Raw genomic sequence first — 20,708 nt, forward strand, 5'->3', positions numbered from 1 at the left:
GCCTGAGCTGACTAGTGCACTCAGTTTCAACAGTAGATTCCACGACATTCCTTTCATGAAATATCTTTGAAAAAGCTGGATTTGGGGCAGTTGCTGTGATAAAAAGTGAGAACTGCACAAAAATTAACGTCCTACAGAAAATGAAGGTGATGGTATCCAAACTGATTCCAAGGTTCGAGAAGCTGCACTGTGGCCACCAGAGGCACATGACCCACTGGTAAGCAATGGCAGCTATTTAAGAAGCAAATACTGTGCTCACTTCAGCAGCACATATACTAAAAGTGGAAGAATCAAATACAAATACTATTTTCTTTCCATTTATATGTGTTAGTTTTCACGTGATTAGGATGTAAATACTAAGTTGTGCAGGCCTAAGGACTTCATAAATGGGATTCTCAACATGTTTCTTTTAGCTTGGAGGTGGCATGAAAAAAATTACTGGGAAGTAAAGGGTACCAAGAGCCACAAACGGTTGGGAACTTCTGCTGTAGCCAGAGAGGAATGTCTCAGGCAAAATGGCAGCAAGGAGCTGTCCTTAGGAACTATTAATGTCAAGGGACAATGGGCCGGGTTCTGACAATGTCTGCCACCATCACTGCCCCTCTATGCCCATGGAAACTCTAGGAACTAGAAACCACCTTCACAGTGGTCATGGGATCCAGCAGTATCACATATCACCCCACCCAGAAGCAGCTGGTGTCACAGAGTTCTAGATCAGTCTATTGAAGCAAGAATGGGCTATCCTATAGTTTGAAGCACATGCATCAAATCAGACTTCTATACAACTTTGTGTTCCCAATGGGAACGAAGATCTGGGAACCCCAGAGATTCAGGAGCCAATAAGTGGAACCAGGAGTGGTTCCCACTGCCCTCATGCCCAATGAGGCACTGAGGGAGTGCGTTCTTTCCATTTCTGCAACTCTGGGCTATGTAGGGTGAGAGGTCCAGGTTCCCAAAGTGGGTACACTCTTGCCAGGGGACACAGCACGGATTGTATTAACTCTTAGCTATAGCTGCCACCAGACACTTTGTGCCCAGGAACCAGCAGGTGAGAAGAGGAGTCACAATTTTAGCAAGGACAATTGACCCTGATCAGTGATTATACAGATAGGGGCAGGAAGGAACATATATGGAAACTGAGTGATCCACTTGGGTGCCTCCTAATAAGTACTCTCTTGATCAGTTTTAACTAGGAATGGATACATGCAGCAACCCTGAGACAGTGAGGAGAGCAGATTTACTTAAAGGCTCAGAATTCTCAGGAATAAAGATTTTGGTCACTCCACTACCTAAGCCTAGACCTAGAGAGGGAAGAGCTAAGCGTGAGGGGGAATTTAGAATGTATAGTGAAGAAGGAAAAGAACAAACACCAATTTCAGCCCCCAATGCCAGTTGCAATGATGGAGGCTATAGTTGGTCCCACTAATTTCCCTTTTCTAAGTTTTCTGTCAGGAAAGGATATCCACAGGAGCCAGGAGGGAGGGACTGTTCCTTGGGCATGCATTCTAAAGTGAATCTGTGCAGCTTAAGAGATGACCTGGTAGGGCCATGGAGGTCTGCAGCTGAGATGATGCCTCACCAAGAGAAAACTGCAGGGAGCATAGTTGACTGACAGATGCTGCATTTTGAATCTACTGTGTACATCCTACACCCAGCTGTTCCTAGATAATCACTGAGCAGAATAGGGGTCCTAGAACCAGGACTTTCCTGTGCAATGGGAGATTCATCCATTGGGCAACTTTGGCTCAGGGTCTCCCTGTCAGCCTGGCTGAGACTTTCTCAGAGCTGTGTCTCAGTGCATGGCTTTTCCTACCCAATCCTTTCTTCCTTCTCCTTTTCAACAGACTCTCCTTATATACTCCTTCTTCCTTCCCCTTTATCCTTCACAACCATTTTCCTCTATAAATCCCTAGCACATGTAATCTTATTCTGGCATCTTCTTGGAGGATCCCAATTAACACCTTATATACTGTTTCGGTGTGTGTGTGTGTGTGTGTGTGTGTGTGTGTGTGTGTGTGTGAGAGAGAGAGAGAGAGAGATTCTTCTCCACCCAGCTAGAGCTAGATTGGGAGATGCCATAAGACCAAAGAGCTTTTCTTACTAACTCTAGTTGGCCCCCCAAAGCACTAAATCGTTCTAGAAAATACTTCTGTTCATACGATTAAAAAAAACAACAGCTAGCATTTATTGAGCATGTATTATGTGCCAACTGTACTAAATATTTTATGTACATGATACCATTTTCACGAATGTACTATTATCTTCACTCTGTAATGAGAAAACCAAAGCTTTGAGCAGATAAGTTACTTAGTTAAAGTCACACAGCTGGTAAATGGCTGAGTTGGGATTTAGACACCAGCTCAACTAGTACTCCATATAGTCTCTCAATATCGGTTTGGAAAGAGCCTTAAATATCATGTAGTCTGACACCCCCAAGTGATCAAAAATCCAAGAAGCCATATGGCATTTAGTTGAACACCTCTAGTGCTGGGTAGTTTGTTCCCTCTCTAAAGAATATACCCCTTCCTAGACAGAGAAGGGAAATTCGTTATTTTGCTTCATCATCCTGGTAGCAGGTATAAAATTGGCATAACCATTCACTACACATGAGTTTTATACACGTGAAAAATTGAGGCTTGGAGAAGTGAACTTGACCCAGGTCTTATTGGTAACAAATGGCAGAGCCAGGAATTGAACGCATGTCTTTTCAGTTCTAGAGCCCTTCCTATTTCCAGTTCTTACATGGCTCTGACAGGTGAGTATTATAAAAACAACAAAGGAAATAAGGGCTAATATTTATTGAGCACTTCCTCCGTGCTAGGCATTGTGCTTTGCATGAGTTATCCCATTTGGTTTTCATCACAGTCCTATGAGAATTATCATTGAAGCTGCTCAGTGGCTAATTCAGTTGGATTCCAGAGGTCACACCTTTTAAAATTATGTTCTGCTGTGTACACATTTCTTCCTATTGAGCCCAAACCTCCTCCTATTCTTTGAGCTAATACAGAACTAGTTGAGTTCCTCTTTGCCAAGCCTGTTCTACAAAATCATATGAAGACAGCTTTTGTCTGTTCTGCTCAGGGCTGAACATTTCCCATCCTGCCTTGTTTTCTCATCCCCTCATCCCCTCATCCCCAGCCCTATCTCCCAAACATGATTCCCTTTATCTGCTTCATTCTGAAAGTGTCTGCCGATTGCTTAATGCTGCCCACAAAAGAAGCCGGAGAACCAAAACTTCCTGTGAAAGGGAAGGTCAGGGTCAGTCTTTAGGCAATGGTGAGAAAATAATGACTTTCAGGCACCAGCATCTAGAGTTACTTGGCTAGGTATTTTGCATTCTGTAGAGTGTCATCTTGCAGTAGATGCCTTCTAAAGAGAAGATGAGCTGGGCGCCATGGCTCACACCTGTAATCCCAGCAGATAACTTGAGTTCAGGAGTTTGAGACCAGCCTGGCCAACATGGTGAAACCCCGTCTCTACTAAAAATACAAAAATTAGCCTGGCCTGCCTGGTGGCATGCCCCTGTAATCCCAGCTACTCAGAAGGCTGATGCAGGAGAATCGCTTGAACCCGGGAGGCGGAGGTTGCAGTGAGCCGAGATCACGCCACTGCACTCCAGCCTGGGCAACACAGCAAGACTCTGCCTCAAAAAAAAAGAAAAAGAAAAAGAAAGAAAGAAAGAGAGAAGATGCAGCCATAATGATATCATAATCCCCAGCAGCTCAAGGTTGTTGGATAAAACAGGAATCAGATCGATCCAGTGTGAAACAATGCCAAGGATAAGGCATTCAAATCCAAACATACGAAATAAATCTGCTGCAGGCTGGGAACCTACCCCGTAGGGTTATTGGAAGGATTAAATGAATTAATGTATGCGAAGTGCTTAGTACAGTACCTAGCACAGAGCAAGTGATCAATAAATATCAGTTAGTACTAACATCTGCTGTGAAATGAACCCAGCACAGTGAGAATGCCTGATTCTTCCTCGGGAAGTGATGTCAGGGAATAATAATAGTACCACTTAGCTAGGACTCCCCATGGGCTCAGCCTTCATATGCATCATCCACTTCAATTCTTAACAACCTGTGGCAAAGATAGTATCCCCATTTTAAAGACATAGAAGCCAAACTCAGCAAAGTTAGGCATCTAAGTGGTTAAAAGCTTGCTCTTTAGACTCAAACAGTTCTGGCTTTGAATTTCAGCTGCAGCACATGCGTGACTTTAAACTTGTCATTTAATGTCTCTGTGCTTCAGTTGCTTAGGCTGTACAATGGGGTAATAAAACACCTTCTTTAAAGAGGTGCTGTATGGATTGAGTCAGTATGTGACACTTAGAACAGTGTCTAGCACATCCTAAGCACTCAATAAATGTCATATGCATACATGCCCACACACACAAATACGTATATACACACATATATACATGTCTACATATGTATATTCATATATGTGTATATGTATGTGTGTGCATATATCTATATCTATATACAGCTGTCCCTTTTCTTTGCTCCCACAATACCCTATGATACTTTCCCAGCACATCATAAATCATCCTGCCTTATAACAATGTTTCTTATCTTTTGCTCCCCATCCCAAACATACACACTATAGATCGTGAAGTCCTGAAGGTCTCATTTTTTTTAATTTCATTTTTACTTTATTATATTTTATTTTAGCAGAGTCAATAAATCTTTGCTAAATAAATGGAATAACAATATTTCATTTTATGAAATGAAGGGCTTTGAAGGATGAGCAGGAGTTTGTCAGGTGGAAAAACGGGAGAAATAGGCATCTCAGGTTAAGAATTGCAGGACTACAGGCCACCCACCCCAAGGCACAAAAAATTACTAGTGGGTTAGCAGCAGTACAGAGCAGAGTTTGAAAAGAAGGATTCGCTTGTAGTCAGGCAGAGAGAAAGGGTATGGTCCTCAGGCCTAAAAACAGAAACCAATTTGTTTAGAGAATGCAGCTCCGGTGGCAGCCGGCTGCTCTGAGCCGGCGTCCCAGCAACCTGGGAGAGTTCACGACCCCCATGACCCCGCCCCCACGAATTCCAGCCAATGAGGAAGCCCTCCTCGGCGTCCCGTTGCCAAGCAACTGGGTTCCCCCCACCCCCACCCGGCCCAAGGGTTAGCAGTTGCCTACTTTCCCCGCAGTGCGATAAACCCCTCGTTGGGGCCGCCTTAGTTCTCGGCCGCTCTCGGAGGATGGCGATCTGGGAGCCCCTCCATGGGACCCCTCTCACACTTTGTCACTGGAATTTTATTTATTTTTTAGTTCATATTTTATTTTGCTTATAGAAGAGAAAGATATCCCTTCCGAAGAGGAGGAAGCTTACAGAAGTTTATAACCTTTCAAAAAGTAAATAAGTCCAGGCTTGCCTGATTCTGCCCTACCCGGACTTCCTTATCCCGTCTGTGGGAGACCCAGGTGCTTTCTCATTACTCTTCAGAAGGAAACCGCTTTGGAGTTCGTGTAATTGGGACTTGGGGATCAGGGAGAAGTTGCCGAAACTTCTCATACCAGTAACTACTGAAGTAGAAGATTCTGGAAAAATCCTTGTCTTGGGGGCACAGGCTAAAACCTGAAGGATTTTTAAGATGACCAAGGTTCCAGCCACCAAGAAGCTTCAGAGTTCCCCCAACTCGGGGGCTGTCCGGCCCTTTTATGCCTCGGAGAACCTAAGGCAGGTAAGTCTCCCCTCTGCTGAAACCAATCATGTTTTCGAGAACAAGTGAAATAGGAATTAGCTGGGTCAAATGGTATTTCTAGTTCTAGATCCCTGAGGAATCGCCACACTGACTTCCACAATGGTTGAACTAGTTTACAGTCCCACCAACAGTGTAAAAGTGTTCCTATTTCTCCACATCCTCTCCAGCACCTGTTGTTTCCTGACTTTTTAATGATTGCCATTCTAACTGGTGTGAGATGGTATCTCATTGTGGTTTTGATTTGCATTTCTCTGATGGCCAGTGATGATGAGCATTTTTTCATGTGTTTTTTGGCTGCATAAATGTCTTCTTTTGAGAAGTGTCTGTTCATGTCCTTTGCCCACTTTTTGATGGGGTTGTTTGTTTTTTTCTTGTAAATTTGTTTAAGTTCATTGTAGATTCTGGATATTAGCTTTTTGTCAGATAAGTATGTTGCGAAAATTTTCTCCCATTTTGTAGGTTGCCTGTTCACTCTGATGGTACTTTCTTTTGCTGTACAGAAGCTCTTTAGTTTAATTAGATCCCTTTTGTCAATTTTGTCTTTTGTTGCCATTGCTTTTGGTGTTTTAGACGTGAAGTCCTTGCCCATGCCTATGTCCTGAATGGTATTGCCTAGGTTTTCTTCTAGGGTTTTTATGGTTTTCATGTCCTTTGTAGGGACATGGATGAAATTGGAAATCATCATTCTCAGTAAACTATCGCAAGAACAAAAAACCAAACACCGCATATTCTCACTCATAGGTGGGAATTGAACAATGAGATCACATGGACACAGGAAGGGGAACATCACACTCTGGGGACTGTTGTGGGGTGGGGGGAGGGGGGAGGGATAGCTTTGGGAGATATACCTGATGCTAGATGACGAGTTAGTGGGTGCAGCACACCAGCATGGCACATGTATACATATGTAACTAACCTGCACAATGTGCACATGTACCCTAAAACTTAAAGTATAATAATACAAAAAAAGGAATTAGCCTCGAAACCAACAAGGGAGAGGGAGAGAGAGGAGAGTCATGGTGTGATTAAATTGTCGAGACACATTCCCGTTGCTATCAATGGCTGGTTTCTCTTAAAGAGTGAAAACGCGAACCAGATCAGTGAGCTGGGCCATCCTATTAGCCAGTAATTCCAAAATGATGGAATAAATCAGCAATGACACTGTAGAACATCAGAAAAAAATTAAGATGAATTGTAGGTTTGCCGTCTGCAGGACTTACTCTCAGAGATCTGCTGGTCTCCAGAAACAGGCATATCCCCTCTCTCTATGGAGAGGCTGCAGAGGGTCAACTTTTGGTGTTCAAAGGCTAGGTTTGCCACGCACCAGCTGTGTGACTTTAGACAGGTGAATTGCTTAGCCTCTCTGAGGCTTTATTTCCTTGTGTCTATGAATTTAGAACAGGAACATCAACTAGGCAGAAGCAGTGTGAGGACTAAATCGAATAAGCTATGAAAATTGTCCACTGTGATGTTAACGCTGGATAATGTGTTTATGGGACATGAAACAGTGTTGTTGATTTGAAAAACAAAGAAAAATCGATACGTACTGAATGACTGGAGTTAATGGTTCCTGTTTTTTAAATGATCATAACTGGACGAGCACAACTGTAAGTGTGCATTTGTTATTGTATCCTCAAACCCCACTTTGCATGGACTGGCCAAGGTCAGCAATGCTGGTCCACTCTAGTGCATCCACAAGGCACAGTTGTGGCTCACAGTCATGCCCCAGGAAGGAGGGCCTGGCAGGTGGTCAGTCTGTGAAGGAGAGCTTAAAACTCACAAGGGCTCTCCATGTGGTCCAAAATGTTCCCAAGCTGCTCTTCTCTAAGGCTTAACCCATCTCTGTGCACTCCTCATTACTCAGCCCTCTTAGCAAGACCACTCTGCAAGATACAGCCTTTTTCCATCTCCTTTCATCTCAAAATACCACACAGAAGGATGTTCAATCCAGAGCAGCCCGCTCTGGGACTGAACTTCCCAGCATAGCGGTGGGAGAATGAATGAGGGAAAGAATGAAGAGGGAAATGAACACTTCAATAGCGAGGGTGAACATCAGAGCGGGAGCAGCAGACAGAATCACCCTGGGTTTGGATCTGCCTCTTCGCAGCCCTGTGGTCTTGGGCAAGCTGCAGAGCTGCTCCGCTTCAGTGCTGCCATCTGCAAAACGGGAATGTCATAGAGCTTCCTCATGGGATTGCTGTGAGCATTAAATGAGTTAACGTACGCCAAAAGCTACGAGCACAGTTCCTGACATATAGTAAGCACACTTTAGGTTTTAGTTCTATTGTTATTTCATTTATTTAGTAAACATTTATTGCACTGCTGTTAGGTGCTAAACACTTGCTCTAGTTAAAAATGAGACTCGCCTTCAAGAATCTTACAATCTATAGTGTGTATGCTTGGGATGGGGAGTAAAAGAGATAAGAAACGTTATAATGCAGGTTGATTAATGATGTGTTGAGGAAGTATCAGAGGGTGTTGTGGGAGCAAAGAAAAGGGACAGCTAATTTAGATTCACGCATGTGTGTGTGTGTATTTGTGTGTGTGTGTGTGTGTGTGTGTGTGTGTGTGTGTGTGTCTCCATGTTGGATTTTGGGAAGAAACAAGCCATGTACTCAAATAAATGTAATAGAGTTTTTCATCCTACCATAGAGAGATGTAGAGAGTGGAGGAAGATGTAGAAGATGAAATGATCATCTCTTTCTTGGGAGGAGGGTAGTGGGACTCAGGGATGTCAAGCAATGGGAAGAAGGCTTCCAGGAAACTGTTGGATAGACCAAGACTTCCGGCCCGAAAGCCTCATTGAAATCCTTCGCACCCCTCTCTACTTTCTAGGAAATAATGAAGACCCCAGGGGTTCCTAGCTCACATTCAAAAGATCATGCCCTTAGGAATTTCAAGGTTTTAGAGTTATAGTAAAGCATTAATTAACCTAATCTAGCGTCAATAGAAAGTGACAAGCCACAAGGAAATATGTAGAGATCAGGATTGATGTCTGGGGTAAATCAAATGAATAATAACTGCAGTCATGATCATGATCATGACGATAGTTGGCATGTATTGAGTATGCATGCATCATGTGCCACGTATTGAACTCAAAAAACTCTTAAGTGTGATATTTTCAGAACCTTCTACAATCCTTCAAGCTATGAACTGTTACCTCTTCATGAGATGGCAACACTGAGGCTCAGAGAGGACAGGTCCCTTACCCAAGGGCACCCAACGGGCAAGGAACAGAACTGGGATTTGAATTCATATCTGTCTGGCTCTGAGCACAAGTCCTCTCCATCTCACCATTCTAGTCAAGCTGTGATAAATGGTTGTTCTGTTCAATGTGCCCAGCACCACAGGGGCTACAAAAATAAGGTGTAAGACACAATCATTGGCTTCAAATAGCTTCCAGGTTTGTTTGGAGGAGGAAAGGGAACGACACCTAAAAGTAGAATCACAAAATGCCAGGCGGCCCGGTAAGTGTCTAATGAGGAGGAATATGAGGAGTGGCCTCTCCCGGGGGAAGGTATAGCCACACTGGCTGCGTGGTAATATTAAGAGTCCCCTGCATACTAGTATAATGAATGACTGTTGGAAAAAACCTCAAAAGGGTCTCGAAGCCCTCTGAACTGGCCATTTTCCTTTCTCACAGGGTTGGACATTGCTATATCCTAACGAATGTTCCACTGGCAACTGCCTTGTACAGGCTCTTCATGGTTTTTGTTTTTGTTTTTTTTAACTGAGGGAATATAAATAACATATGCAAATCCTCTGTTTGAAAGTCTTTTGTTAAAGAAACCGTCTAGCTTGCCCTTATGTTGGGTTCCCTAATCTGCTTAGGGAGTCCCTTTTCCCTTTGTTTCCTAAGGAAGCAGACGAAGTCTAATGGGATCAGACATGGGGGAGGGGAGAAGCAGATTGTGTATAGGATTACCACGGACCCACGATTTCTGCCTTGGAAAAGGCTGAAAAAGAGAGGTGCTTAGAACATCCCCCTTTATGTTCTAGAATGAAAACTCAAAAGTAGCATTTGGCAAAAACTGTAAAGGTTTGCAATCCTTTATACAAGCTCTGTCTCTTAGTGTCTGAACTTTCCACCTCGTTGTCATTAAAAACCCAGAGAGAAAAGCAGCATCCCTAATTTGGGCAGATCCTAAAACTTCCAGGAACCATTCTGGGTGACTTGCTCATATCCTAGCTTTTAGTGATTAAAGGAGCAGATTCTGCCAGGCGCAGTGGCTCATGCCTATAATCTGAACACTTTGGGGGGGGCCGAGGCAGGAGGATCACTTGAGCCCAGGAGTTTGAGACAAGCCTGGGCACTAAAGTGAGACCCCATCTCCACAAAAAGTAAAAACAGAACAAAACAAAACAAAAGAACTAGCCAGGTGTGGTGGCATATGCCTATGGTCACAGCTTCTTGGGAGGCTGAGGCAGGAGGCTTGCTTGAGCCCAGGAGGTCAAGGCTGCAGTGAACTGTGATTGTGCCACTATACTCCAGCCGGGGTGACAGAGCGAGATCCTGTCTCAATAAATCAACCAACCAATAAAAGAGCAGATTCTTCGCAAACTCTGTGCTCCAGCTGGGGTGTCAGAGCGAGATCCTGTCTCAGTAAATCAACCAACCAATAAAAGAGTAGATTCTTCGGCAAACTCTGTGGGTTCGAACCCCAACACTGCCACTTACTAGGTTGTGTGATCTTGGGTTACTCAATTCCTCTCTGTGCCTCAGTTTGCTGCTCTGTGAAACAAGCGTTATCACGTTTTATCTAATCCAAGAAGCCTTCCATTTCCAGATGCATCACCATTTTCTTGTGCTGCTAAAAAAGAAAACTTAACAAATTAAACTATCACCTGTTTCAATTATATGTCTCAGTTTCAGAGGTATTAAAATGCAGAAAGAAAAGGTGCATCTTAGGATAGATGAAATACATGTAAAAATGCTTCCCCATCAAAGGGGTGTTGTGGGAATTAGATGACTTAATGTGGGTAATGCTGTTAGAACAGAGCCTGGCATACAGTAAATACCATTAAATGGTAGCCACCATTACGGCGTTGTTTAATCCTTTCAACAACTCCATAATAGAGGTATTGTTAATAAGCTTTAGTACCTAGGTAGACTGGGGCTTGAAGATCCCCAGGGTCTAGTTCTCTGCTGAGAGGTAAGTTGGCAGGTGCCTGAAGAAGGGGGCAAACCCAGGTATGGAAAAGACCTGGGCCTGACGGTCTCCATCCTTCCTGCCGCCCCACCCCCTGCCCCCCACCACCAAGTGATGAGGATGGATGTCTCCAGAGACAGCCTTAGAAGCCCAATCCAGCATATACCCAGCTGGGCTGCCTGGAGTCGGAAAAGGAGAACCAACATATTTGAGAAACATTTTCCCCAACAAGAGAAACCTGGACTCCCAGCACAATACGTTTCCATGGCAAACATAAAACGATTTTCCTCCTTGTCCAAATAGAAGAAATTGTGACCTGAAGAGATAAATGGCGGGCTGTAGTGAGTCATTGGTTTTTGTTAAAGGTGACGTCAGCGCTCAGTGATCTCTCTGGCCTCTAATCACTGAGACCACGCCCCCTGCATGGAATCACTGATTACCCTGAAAAAAATAAAACAAAATATCTAACAACCACTTGAGATTCAATTCTAAAGAATCTCAGCTGGCTGTTCCATTTTTATATCACTCATGACTTAAGCCAGGAAAAGAGAAATGAGGGAGAAGGGACTCTTTTCTCTCTCCAAGAGGTTCTTCTAGCTCCATTGCTACTGCATGAGATAAATTGCAGAATTCATGTTTTTTGTTTAGGTGGTTTGTTTGGTTTTTTGTTTTGTTTTGTTATCTTTATGGCCTAATGCTTTGGACAGGCAATGCTTGCCTTAGCGAATCTTGCTGTGTCTAATTGCATGGGCATGTGACAGTCGGCTCTTTTCCATGATAAATCAGGATGCAGGGAAGGAGTGTGTTCATTACCTCCTGACACGAGAAGAGCGATCGGCACTCTTCATGCTGGACAAAATGAAGCAGGCTATTTGTCCCATCTGCAAGGAGGCAGCTGCTCTGCAGGGGGAGGGGAGGGTGGGAGAGGAGTGAAGAAATGATCCAAGAGTCTTGTTGATGGGATAATAAGCTTTGTAATTAGTTAGAAGCTCTGCCTTTGAAGTCAGGCAAAGGTGGGTTCAAATCCTCTTTTTGACACTCTAGTGTGAGTTTCTGGTAAATGGGGTTGAAGAACAATAAGATCTATGGCATAGATGTTTTGGAAGGATTAAATAAAATAATGCATGTGAAATACTGAGCACGATACCCAGTTAGCCTCCACTAAGTGGTGACATGGTCATTATTGTTACTTGTGCTCCTCTCCCTTCTCTGATTGGACATGAGTGCTACCATGACTGTTTTGAAGATATGGCCAACCCAGAGATGAAGTCTAGAGGAAACTGAGTATTAACTGTAAAGTCACATAGTGAGGTCCATCATTAATGAGGCCAGGCCTCAGCTTAAGGGTAGAAGGGAAGAAGCAGGTCCAAAGATATTTTTAGAGTTGGTATGAGAATATATTTGCATGAGAGATGCAATGTGTTAGTTGTAGAGAAGGGGGTGCTCCTGAGCATGGTTTGAGTTCCTTGGATTTACCTCTCAGCTCAGTCCCATTATTCATCTTTTAATCCCATAGAGAGCCAAAGGGTAGTGAGGAAAAATAAAAGGAAAACACCATATATAAATTAGGGTTGTTTTTGGCTGCAAGTAAGAGAAAAACTGAAAAGCAGCGAAGTAAACAAATAGGAATTTATTTTTCTCATGTGAGAAGTCTGGAGGTGGATAGCTGTTGGCATTGGCTCGAGAGCTCACTAGCATCAGGCTGGCAAGGCCCAAGGCCCTTTCCCTCATGGTCACAAAATGGCTGTCCCAGGTCACAAAATGGCTGTCCCACATCCATATTCCAGCAGAAAGAGGAAAAAGCAGAGAGGAAAAGCTATGTTTGTCCCTTTTATGAGGGAAACAGAAGCTTTCCAAGAACCTTCCTGACCTATTTTCTCTATTTCTAATTTTCCAGAACAGTGTCACCTCTCTTTTCTAGCAGTAAGAATGGCTGGGAAAGTATGCATCTAACATGAGTATAGAAAGCAGGAGCAAGGAAGCGATGGTGATATTGAAGATGAGTACTGGATTGACTATTCAGCAGTGACTTGCACAAATGATTTCACAAAAATTCAAATAATAGGGATCCCAAGCCATGCATTGACAGAGGGTAACCCAAAAAAGGAGTCATCCCTATCCCCTACCCTACACAACAACTGCTTAGGAATCTCAAGGGCACTTGTCCATAGTAGTACCCATCAAAGAGCTGTGGGGGTGAGGGAAAAAGTAGAGTTCCCCCAGTGGGAACATTTATTCACTCAACTAACATGTATTGAGTTCCAAGGATAGGCCAAGCATGGTTATAGGTGGTGGGGACACAGAAGTGAATAAAGAAAATCAAATGAGACACTCTGGACACTCTGAAAAATGTAGGGAGAATAACACAAGCATGGATCTAAACAAATGGAATGTGTGCCATCTTTATTCCTGTGACCCCCATCTGTTTCACTGTTTGGTGAGGCTTAAGGAAATTCTGGTTAGATAAGCCTTTGCACAACTGTGGAAAGAAACTTATTCTTGACTTCCTTTCAACATCCCCACAGCCATCAGCTGTTAAATTCAAAAGCTGCAAAAATTCATATGGGGTTCAGTGGCAAATAGCACTTACAAAAAATCTGACAGAAGCCAATTAAACCTTTCTTGGACTGAATAAACCAACATATTTTTTCTCAGAGATATTTCTGACAGCTAAATTCAAAATCATAATCATCATAATGGGATACCTTCTATCATGAGATGGTGGCATTTTCCCTTCTAAATTCCTGTTTTCAAACTCTGCTGAGAAAATTTCTTGCGGGGCTCAATTTTGATCTAATGTATTTCTGCCTAAATTGGAATTTATGCAATCGGTAGTTTTATTTAATAACTTGAAAATTAGCCGCGTCTGGCAATCGGCTTGCAAGCTTGGAAATGCCTCGGGGTTTCTGGATTTCACTAAGCGGGGAGATTATACAACTGGGACAGATTCTGGGATAGGTTCAGCATTGTCAGGGGTTTCATAGTGGCTGTAGATCAGGGGCAGAACAGAGAGAGACTATCCCTCATTGCAGCCTGGTACATGATCAGGGTCATCTTTTGAGGTATATATTGAGCACCTACCATGTGACAGATGTTTTGAGGGCGCTAAAATGCAGCAGACTTGTGGTCTTCTCCCAAGGAACCCACAGTGCTGTTGGAAAGAACATTTATAAATAACTATGAATCAAGATAGTGAATAACAAGTACCAAAAGAAAGGCAAACTATATATATATATATATATATATATGTATATATAAGCTTGAGGTAGAAACAAGTTCTATCATGGAAAGACAGGTGCAGTGAAGCCATCTGAATCTTGAACGTTGGCTGGATATAGACTTGGGTGGTACTAGACACTGAGCCAAACCTAGAACTCATTTTCTAATACATCAGGGAGGAAGGGAGGGGGCGTATTACCATTCTCCTGCAAAAAACAACTTCTTTCTTGGTATCCTGTCTGAAAAAATGCTGCCTCACAGAGCTCCAGCAGATCACTCTTTTCATACTCTCCTTCTCCATACCCAAAGTTACCCAAGTTTCTGTCCCAAAGGGTTGTCAAATTAGGGAGGACTTTGCCCCATGAACTCCCACTAAAGCTTTAAATAATTGGAAATATCTAGTGTGTTACTTCTCTCCAGGCTTTACGTTTCAGCAGAGTTTCTCAAATTTGGCACTATTGAACATTTGAGGCCAGATAGGCTGTCCCTTGCATTGCAGGGTGTGAAGCAGCATTCCTGACCTCTCCCTATTAGATGACAGTTGCAGCCTCCCCATGGTGACAACGAAAAACATCTCAGTATTGCCAAATGTCCTCAGGGGGCAAGACCATCCACAGTTGAGAATCACCAGCAGAAGGATACTAAAGTCTTGACTACCCTTCCCCAGTTGAATGCCTATCTGATGGTAAAACCTTCCCCGTCTAAATAAATGATGCCGTCATGTACCCAGTTGTTCAAGTAGAAACCCAAGCTTCATCTATGACCTCTGCCTCTTCATCACCCCGTATGTCCAATTAACTACCACAGGGTGGGTGTTCAGTGGATGCTGCCTCCTTCCCCAAGGTTACTACCTGGTCCATAGCACCATTATTTCTTGCCTGGACCACCCCATTGGCCCCATTACTGTACTTTTTACCTTCCATCTGACCCATTATCTTTCAATGCAAGTGTGATACTGTCATTCCCCTTGTTAAAACAATTCAATGACCCTCTATTGTCCTGAAAATGAAGACGAATATCTTTAATGAAGTTTAAAAGTCTCTGCATGATCTGGCCCATGGCAGGTTCTTCAGCCTCATCTTTCTTCACTTGGTCACCACTAAGGAGCCACACTAGTTTTGGAATTTCTGCCTTATATCTTCTTCCTCCTCTTAGAACATTCTCTCTCTCTCTCTCTCTTTCTCTCTCTCTCTCTCTCTCACACACACACACACACACACACACACACACACACACACACACAATCTCTCCTACTTCCTTCAATGTCAGCTTTAATATCACTTCTTTTGACAAGCCTTCCCTGGCCACCACCTCCCCATCCAGGTCACACGCTTCTTTTGCACCATAAAATTCCCCTTTGTAATACTATCTTCCCTAGGAAACTGTAAGCTCCTCCAGAGCAAGAAACATGGTGGCTTTTTTGTTGCCACCACTTTGGTATCCCACAGGACCTGCCACATCAGACGTACAATTAAGACTTAGATGAGTAAGCTCTTTCTAGTGCTCTCTTGTCTCATAAGTATAACATTAAAGCCAAACCAACCCTGCTTAAGACAGAAAAAGGAGGCTGGGCACGGTGGCTCATGCCCGTAATCCCAGCACTTTGGGAAGCCAAAGCAGGCGGATCATGAGGTCAGGATTTCGAGACCAGCCTGATCAACATGGTGAAATCCCGTCTTTACTAAAAATACCAAAATTAGCCAGGTGTGGTGGCATGTGCCTATAATCCCAGCTACTCAGGAGGCTGAGGCAGGAGAATCACTTGAACCCGGGAGGCGGAGGTTGCAGTGAGCCCAGATCATGCCACTGCACTCCAGCCTTGGTGACAGAGTGAGACTCCATCTCAAAAATAAATAAATAAATAAATAAATAAGAGAGAGACAGCAAATGGGGCCTGCAGTTTAGATGGGACATAGAAAGGGAGGTACCTCTCAAGACCTCTCCTCAAACAGTCAGTTTAGATGGGACATAGAAACGGAGCTGCCTCTCAAGACCTCCCCTCAAACAGCCAAATCCTTATGGTTTTTCACGGCAATATCTTTCCAGAAATTTGAATGGTGGTGGAGCAGGCATAGCCCTTACCTGGAATTAAGAGGCCTGGTTCCCAGCTCTCTCACTATCTGGCTGTATGACTTTTGTTTTTGTTTGTTTGTTTTTTGTTTTTTTTTGTTTGTTTGTTTTGAGACAGTCTCACTCTGTCACCCTGGCTGGAGTGCAGTGGCGCGATCTCAGCTCAATTCAATCTCCACCTCCCGGGTTCAAGGGATTCTTTTCTCAGCCTCCCAAATAGCTGGGTTTACAAGCACATGCCGCCATACCCAGCTGATTTTTTTTTTTTTTTTTTTTTTAGTAGAGATGGAGTTTTGCCATATTGCCCGGGCTGATCCCGAACTCCTGGGCTCAAGAGATCTACCCACCTCGGCCTCCCAAAGTGCTGGGATTACAGGTGTGAGCCACTGTACCTGGCCTGGCTGTATGACTTTGGACAAATCACTTAACCTCTTTGATTTCTTTGTCTTCATCTGAAGAAACAGGGAATCTTAACCTGGAAATTGCTAGGCTCCCTTGATGGCACTTGAAAAAAAAATGGCTACCACTTACTGAGCATCTATTTTGCACCAATTTCTTTGCCTATATTATTAAAATGAACTCTTCAATCCAGTGTGGCAGGTGCTATCATGACATCTAACCTCTACTTGTAGAGATGAGGAAACTGAGGCTTGAAGAAGTTTTGCAACCTGTCCAGAGACACCAGAGAAGCAGGTGATGGAGTTAGGATTTGAATCCAGAACCAAGTAACTACAGAAAGCCTGTGCTCTTAAGATGAGCCTGGTAGGTTGCAGTAAGAAGGGGCAAGTATCTCTCTAAAAGGGGCAACTATTGGTGCAATTTTTAAAGAATATGTTTAAAAAGCCTCTGGAAGAAAGGGGAAAGTGCCAATTTTAGCTGTAGGCAATGCAAACAAGAATGTGACTGTGCCCGTGACCACAGACAAGGATATTTGCATTTTCTTGAGCTTTTGCTAAAATATGCTAGCAGGTTTCTGCCAGAAAAAAACACAGCTAAGGATGAGAAGAAGAGGGAGAAAAAACCTGCATGTGGCTTAGACTCATCTTTCTCTTTCTTTCTTTCTTTCTTTCTTTCTTTCTTTCTTTCTTTCTTTCTTTCTTTCTTTCTTTTTTTTTTGAGACAGAGTCTTGCTCTGTCACCGAGGCTGGAGAGCAATGGCGTGATCTGGGCTCACTGCAGCCTCTGCCTCCTGGGTTCAAGCGATTCTCCTGCCTCAGCCTCCTGAGTAGCTGGGGTTACAGGCGTGCCCCACCATGCCTGGCTAACTTTTGTATTTTTAATAGAGATGGGGTTTCACCATCTTGGTCAAGCTGGTCTCAAACTCCTGACCTCGTGATCCACCCACCTCAGCCTCTCAAAGTGCTGGGATTACAGTCATAAGCCACGTGCCCGGCCTAGACTCATCTTTCTAAATAATGTTCATTTCAATGAAGATGTATAAGCCATTTCTAATTAGAGTCACATTTCTAAAAAAGACATATTTTGATACTGGATCAATATACTGCCAAAACCTGCTAGAAAAAATGGAGAGGAAGACAGGCCCAACTAATGAGAGATGAGGCTCTGGGGTGTGTGTGGCTGAAATGTTGATAATCGTAAACAGCTTAATTGGGTTGAATACTTTGAGTAAATATCAAGTTAAATGGATTCACTCTGAATCCAAGCTCTGACCCACTGAAATTTTTATTTTCTCCAAAAAAAATTCTGTATCATAATTGCCTGTTTATTTTTCTGATCTCACCACTGGACTTGTAGCTCCTTGAGGAAGGTGACACCATGCGTTGCTCATGATTCTATCCTAGAGCCTAGCACAGGGGCTGATACTGGCAAAATGTTCAATATTCTCGTCTCTATTCTCAGGACCAAGGGTAGCTCCACATAGTGAGGCAACACATTCCTTAGGCAACTAGAAATTCCATTTGGACAAGGCCTACAAATGTTTTATTACTATATTCCCAGTACATGCTGGGTGCTCCATATATATGAATACCATTCTAATACTTACTATGTAAACTTGGGCAAGTTACTCTCTGTGCCTCAGTTTTCCTCTCCTCCATGCAAAAATAATAACAGTTCCTGCCTCATCGGGTTGTTGAGAGGATCAGGGACAGCCCCAGGCACGTAGTCAGTGCTCACAAAATGTTATCTCTTAATATTCTCCTTCAAAATCGAAGCCAATGGCTCCCAAATATCAAGAATTAAAATATTTAAATACTGACATTTCCAGAGATGACGATTCTTATGCTGATCATTTTTATGCATTCAGGAAAAGGCAGCCAAAAGGATAACATGACTAAAATGTTTCACTTCTAAGAGCCCTTGAAGAAAATGCCCAAAAGGCAATTAGCACATGACTGTCGCCTGTGTTGCTATTGCTCATTAGCTGATCCCATCCTCTGCTAATCAAACTGCTTCTTTGATATTTTTAGACCTTTTAAAAGAGGCTCCTCAAAACTCAGGAAGCAATGCTTATTGGCAGATACCAAAGAATTTGAGACACCGTGAATATGGCATTCTCATAGAGAATGTGAGAATGGTGAGAGCATTCTGCAGGGTCTTTTAGAACCAGAGTAAGCAGTTTGGATGCTTCTTTAACCCTAACTAGCCTCCTCACCTTTTCACTTCCTGCCCCAACCAACAAACAGCCTTCCCAGTCCCCTGTTCCTTGTGTTCTATGGTTCAGGATTTAAATTGCCTCAGTAAAAGCACATTTGAGTCTCCTTCACTAAACAAACTCTAGCCAGAGCTGATTGAGTTAGCATCTGGGTCACGGGCTCATTCTAGGTTTTGAGTCCCAATTCTGATGCTGTTTGCCTGCTCTGTGACCTTACACTACCCATTTCACTTCTCTGATGCTGAAAGCTCTCACCTGTAATAGAATCTCGTGAAGATTCAAGATAATGTTCATAAGGACTGAGTCCAAAATAATAGCTAAGGTTGATTTGTGATTGACATTTTTCAATGCTCTTGATGTTTTATGTGCATCCCAGCCATCTCCATGTTCTGGTATATGTAATGCCAGGCTCTTTTGTCCAGAAAAAGATGGCATAGTATTGAGAAAAGAAATCTCCTCCTGATAAATCATCATTCTCTCAAGGTCGTCCTGGAGGTATATTTTTGTATTCTCCATGAGGTTAAAAATTATGTCAATGTTTTAAGAATAAGTAAATGGTACATTATATAGCCATGATCATGATAATAGAAGTAACTCATGTTATTGGCTGAGTACTTAATTGTGTGCCTTGTGCCATGCAAACCCCTTATGTGAGTTATGCAATTCCATGCAGTCTACAGTGCTAAGAGGCAGGCATTATTAATTCCATTTTACAGATGAGGAAGCCTGTCAACAAGGGTCATACAGCTGCTGGTTAGTGGACCATCCATCATTTTTAACCATTATGCTGTATTTCTCAACAAGGTAAACTTGACTTTTTACTGGGGGTGGGTGGGTTGAGAGAAAATATGCCCCCACTCTCAAAAGAAGAGCAGAAGGAAGGAAAACCACCCACTTTGAGAAGCTTTGGGGGATAGAAAAAACATTGACTGCATCTTATAACTGTTCACTTCTGGCTTCTCTTCACCCACCAAGGCCAAGGTCCAGGGCGTGTTCCTTTTTTTTTTTTTTTTTTTTTCTTCTGAGACAGAGTCTCTCTCTGTTGCCCAGGCTAGAGTGCAGTGGCACAATCTGGGCTCACTGCAACCTCTGCCTCCCAGATTCAAGCAATTCTCATGTCTCAGCCTCCTGAATAACTGGGATTACAGGTGTGTACCACCTAATTTTTTTGTATTTTTAGTAGGGACAGGGTTTCACCATGTTGGCCAGGCTGGTCTCAAACTCCTGACCTCAGATGATCTGCCCATCTCAGCCTCCCAAAGTGCTTGGATTATAGGCGTGAGCCACTGCGCCTGGCCCAGGGCGTGTTTCAAGGACACCCTGTTCACCCCAGTAGTCCCTGAAGTTGACAACGGACAGACATTCCACAGGACTCTCAATCCACTCCATCCCCTCCAAGAACCCTGTGAAGTCTCCATCCCGTCTTTTGTAATGTCAGTAATCACGAATATACCCTGTTCATTGAATGAAGCCTGGGATTATCTAATCAACCCAACTTTATCTTTGCCTCTCATTACTCCCTTCAGATATTTTCAGTGCAGGAAGCTCTTCTCTGGAGCCTGCATAAAAATGGTGTACCCAGTGCCTTTTCTGCTCACCCTTGGGTGACAGCCACTCTAGTAGTCTCTTTAAGTCACAAAACACAGCCACAATTCAAAAACCAAAAGCATTGACATAAGATACTAAGCAACATTTCAACCTTCCCTCAAGGAGAAGAGTGGTCCTGTTCTCCTCCCTATTAAGGATGGTTTCAGGCAGGCCACCCAGGAGGGAGATGTGGGGTGTGCCCCTATCTTGAACCAGGGAGATCCCCAGCTCTTCTTTGCTTTATTATTTATTTATTTATTTATTTATTTATTTATTTATTTATTTTTTGAGACAGAGTCTCGCTCTGTCACCCAGGCTGGAGTGCAGTAGCATGATCTCGGCTCACTGCAACCACCG

The 20,708-nt window shown here is 43.3% G+C and overlaps 1 protein-coding gene across 5 annotated transcripts in view; it reads left to right on the forward strand.

The window, feature by feature from the left end:
• The first annotated feature begins 5,152 nt into the window (after positions 1-5,152).
• Positions 5,153-20,708, forward strand: part of CCDC60 (coiled-coil domain containing 60) — a 206,312-nt gene continuing 190,756 nt past the window's right edge. For all 5 annotated transcript variants that reach the window (NM_178499.5, XM_017018912.3, XM_017018913.3 and 2 more), the window contains exon 1: positions 5,153-5,690. In NM_178499.5, the coding sequence (NP_848594.2) occupies positions 5,601-5,690 (90 nt within the window). In that variant the 5' untranslated portion in view covers positions 5,153-5,600. The remainder of the gene's footprint in view (positions 5,691-20,708) is intronic.

This window comes from Homo sapiens, chromosome 12, assembly GCF_000001405.40.
Source record: "Homo sapiens chromosome 12, GRCh38.p14 Primary Assembly".
In the NCBI taxonomy this organism is placed as follows: Eukaryota; Metazoa; Chordata; class Mammalia; order Primates; family Hominidae; genus Homo; species Homo sapiens.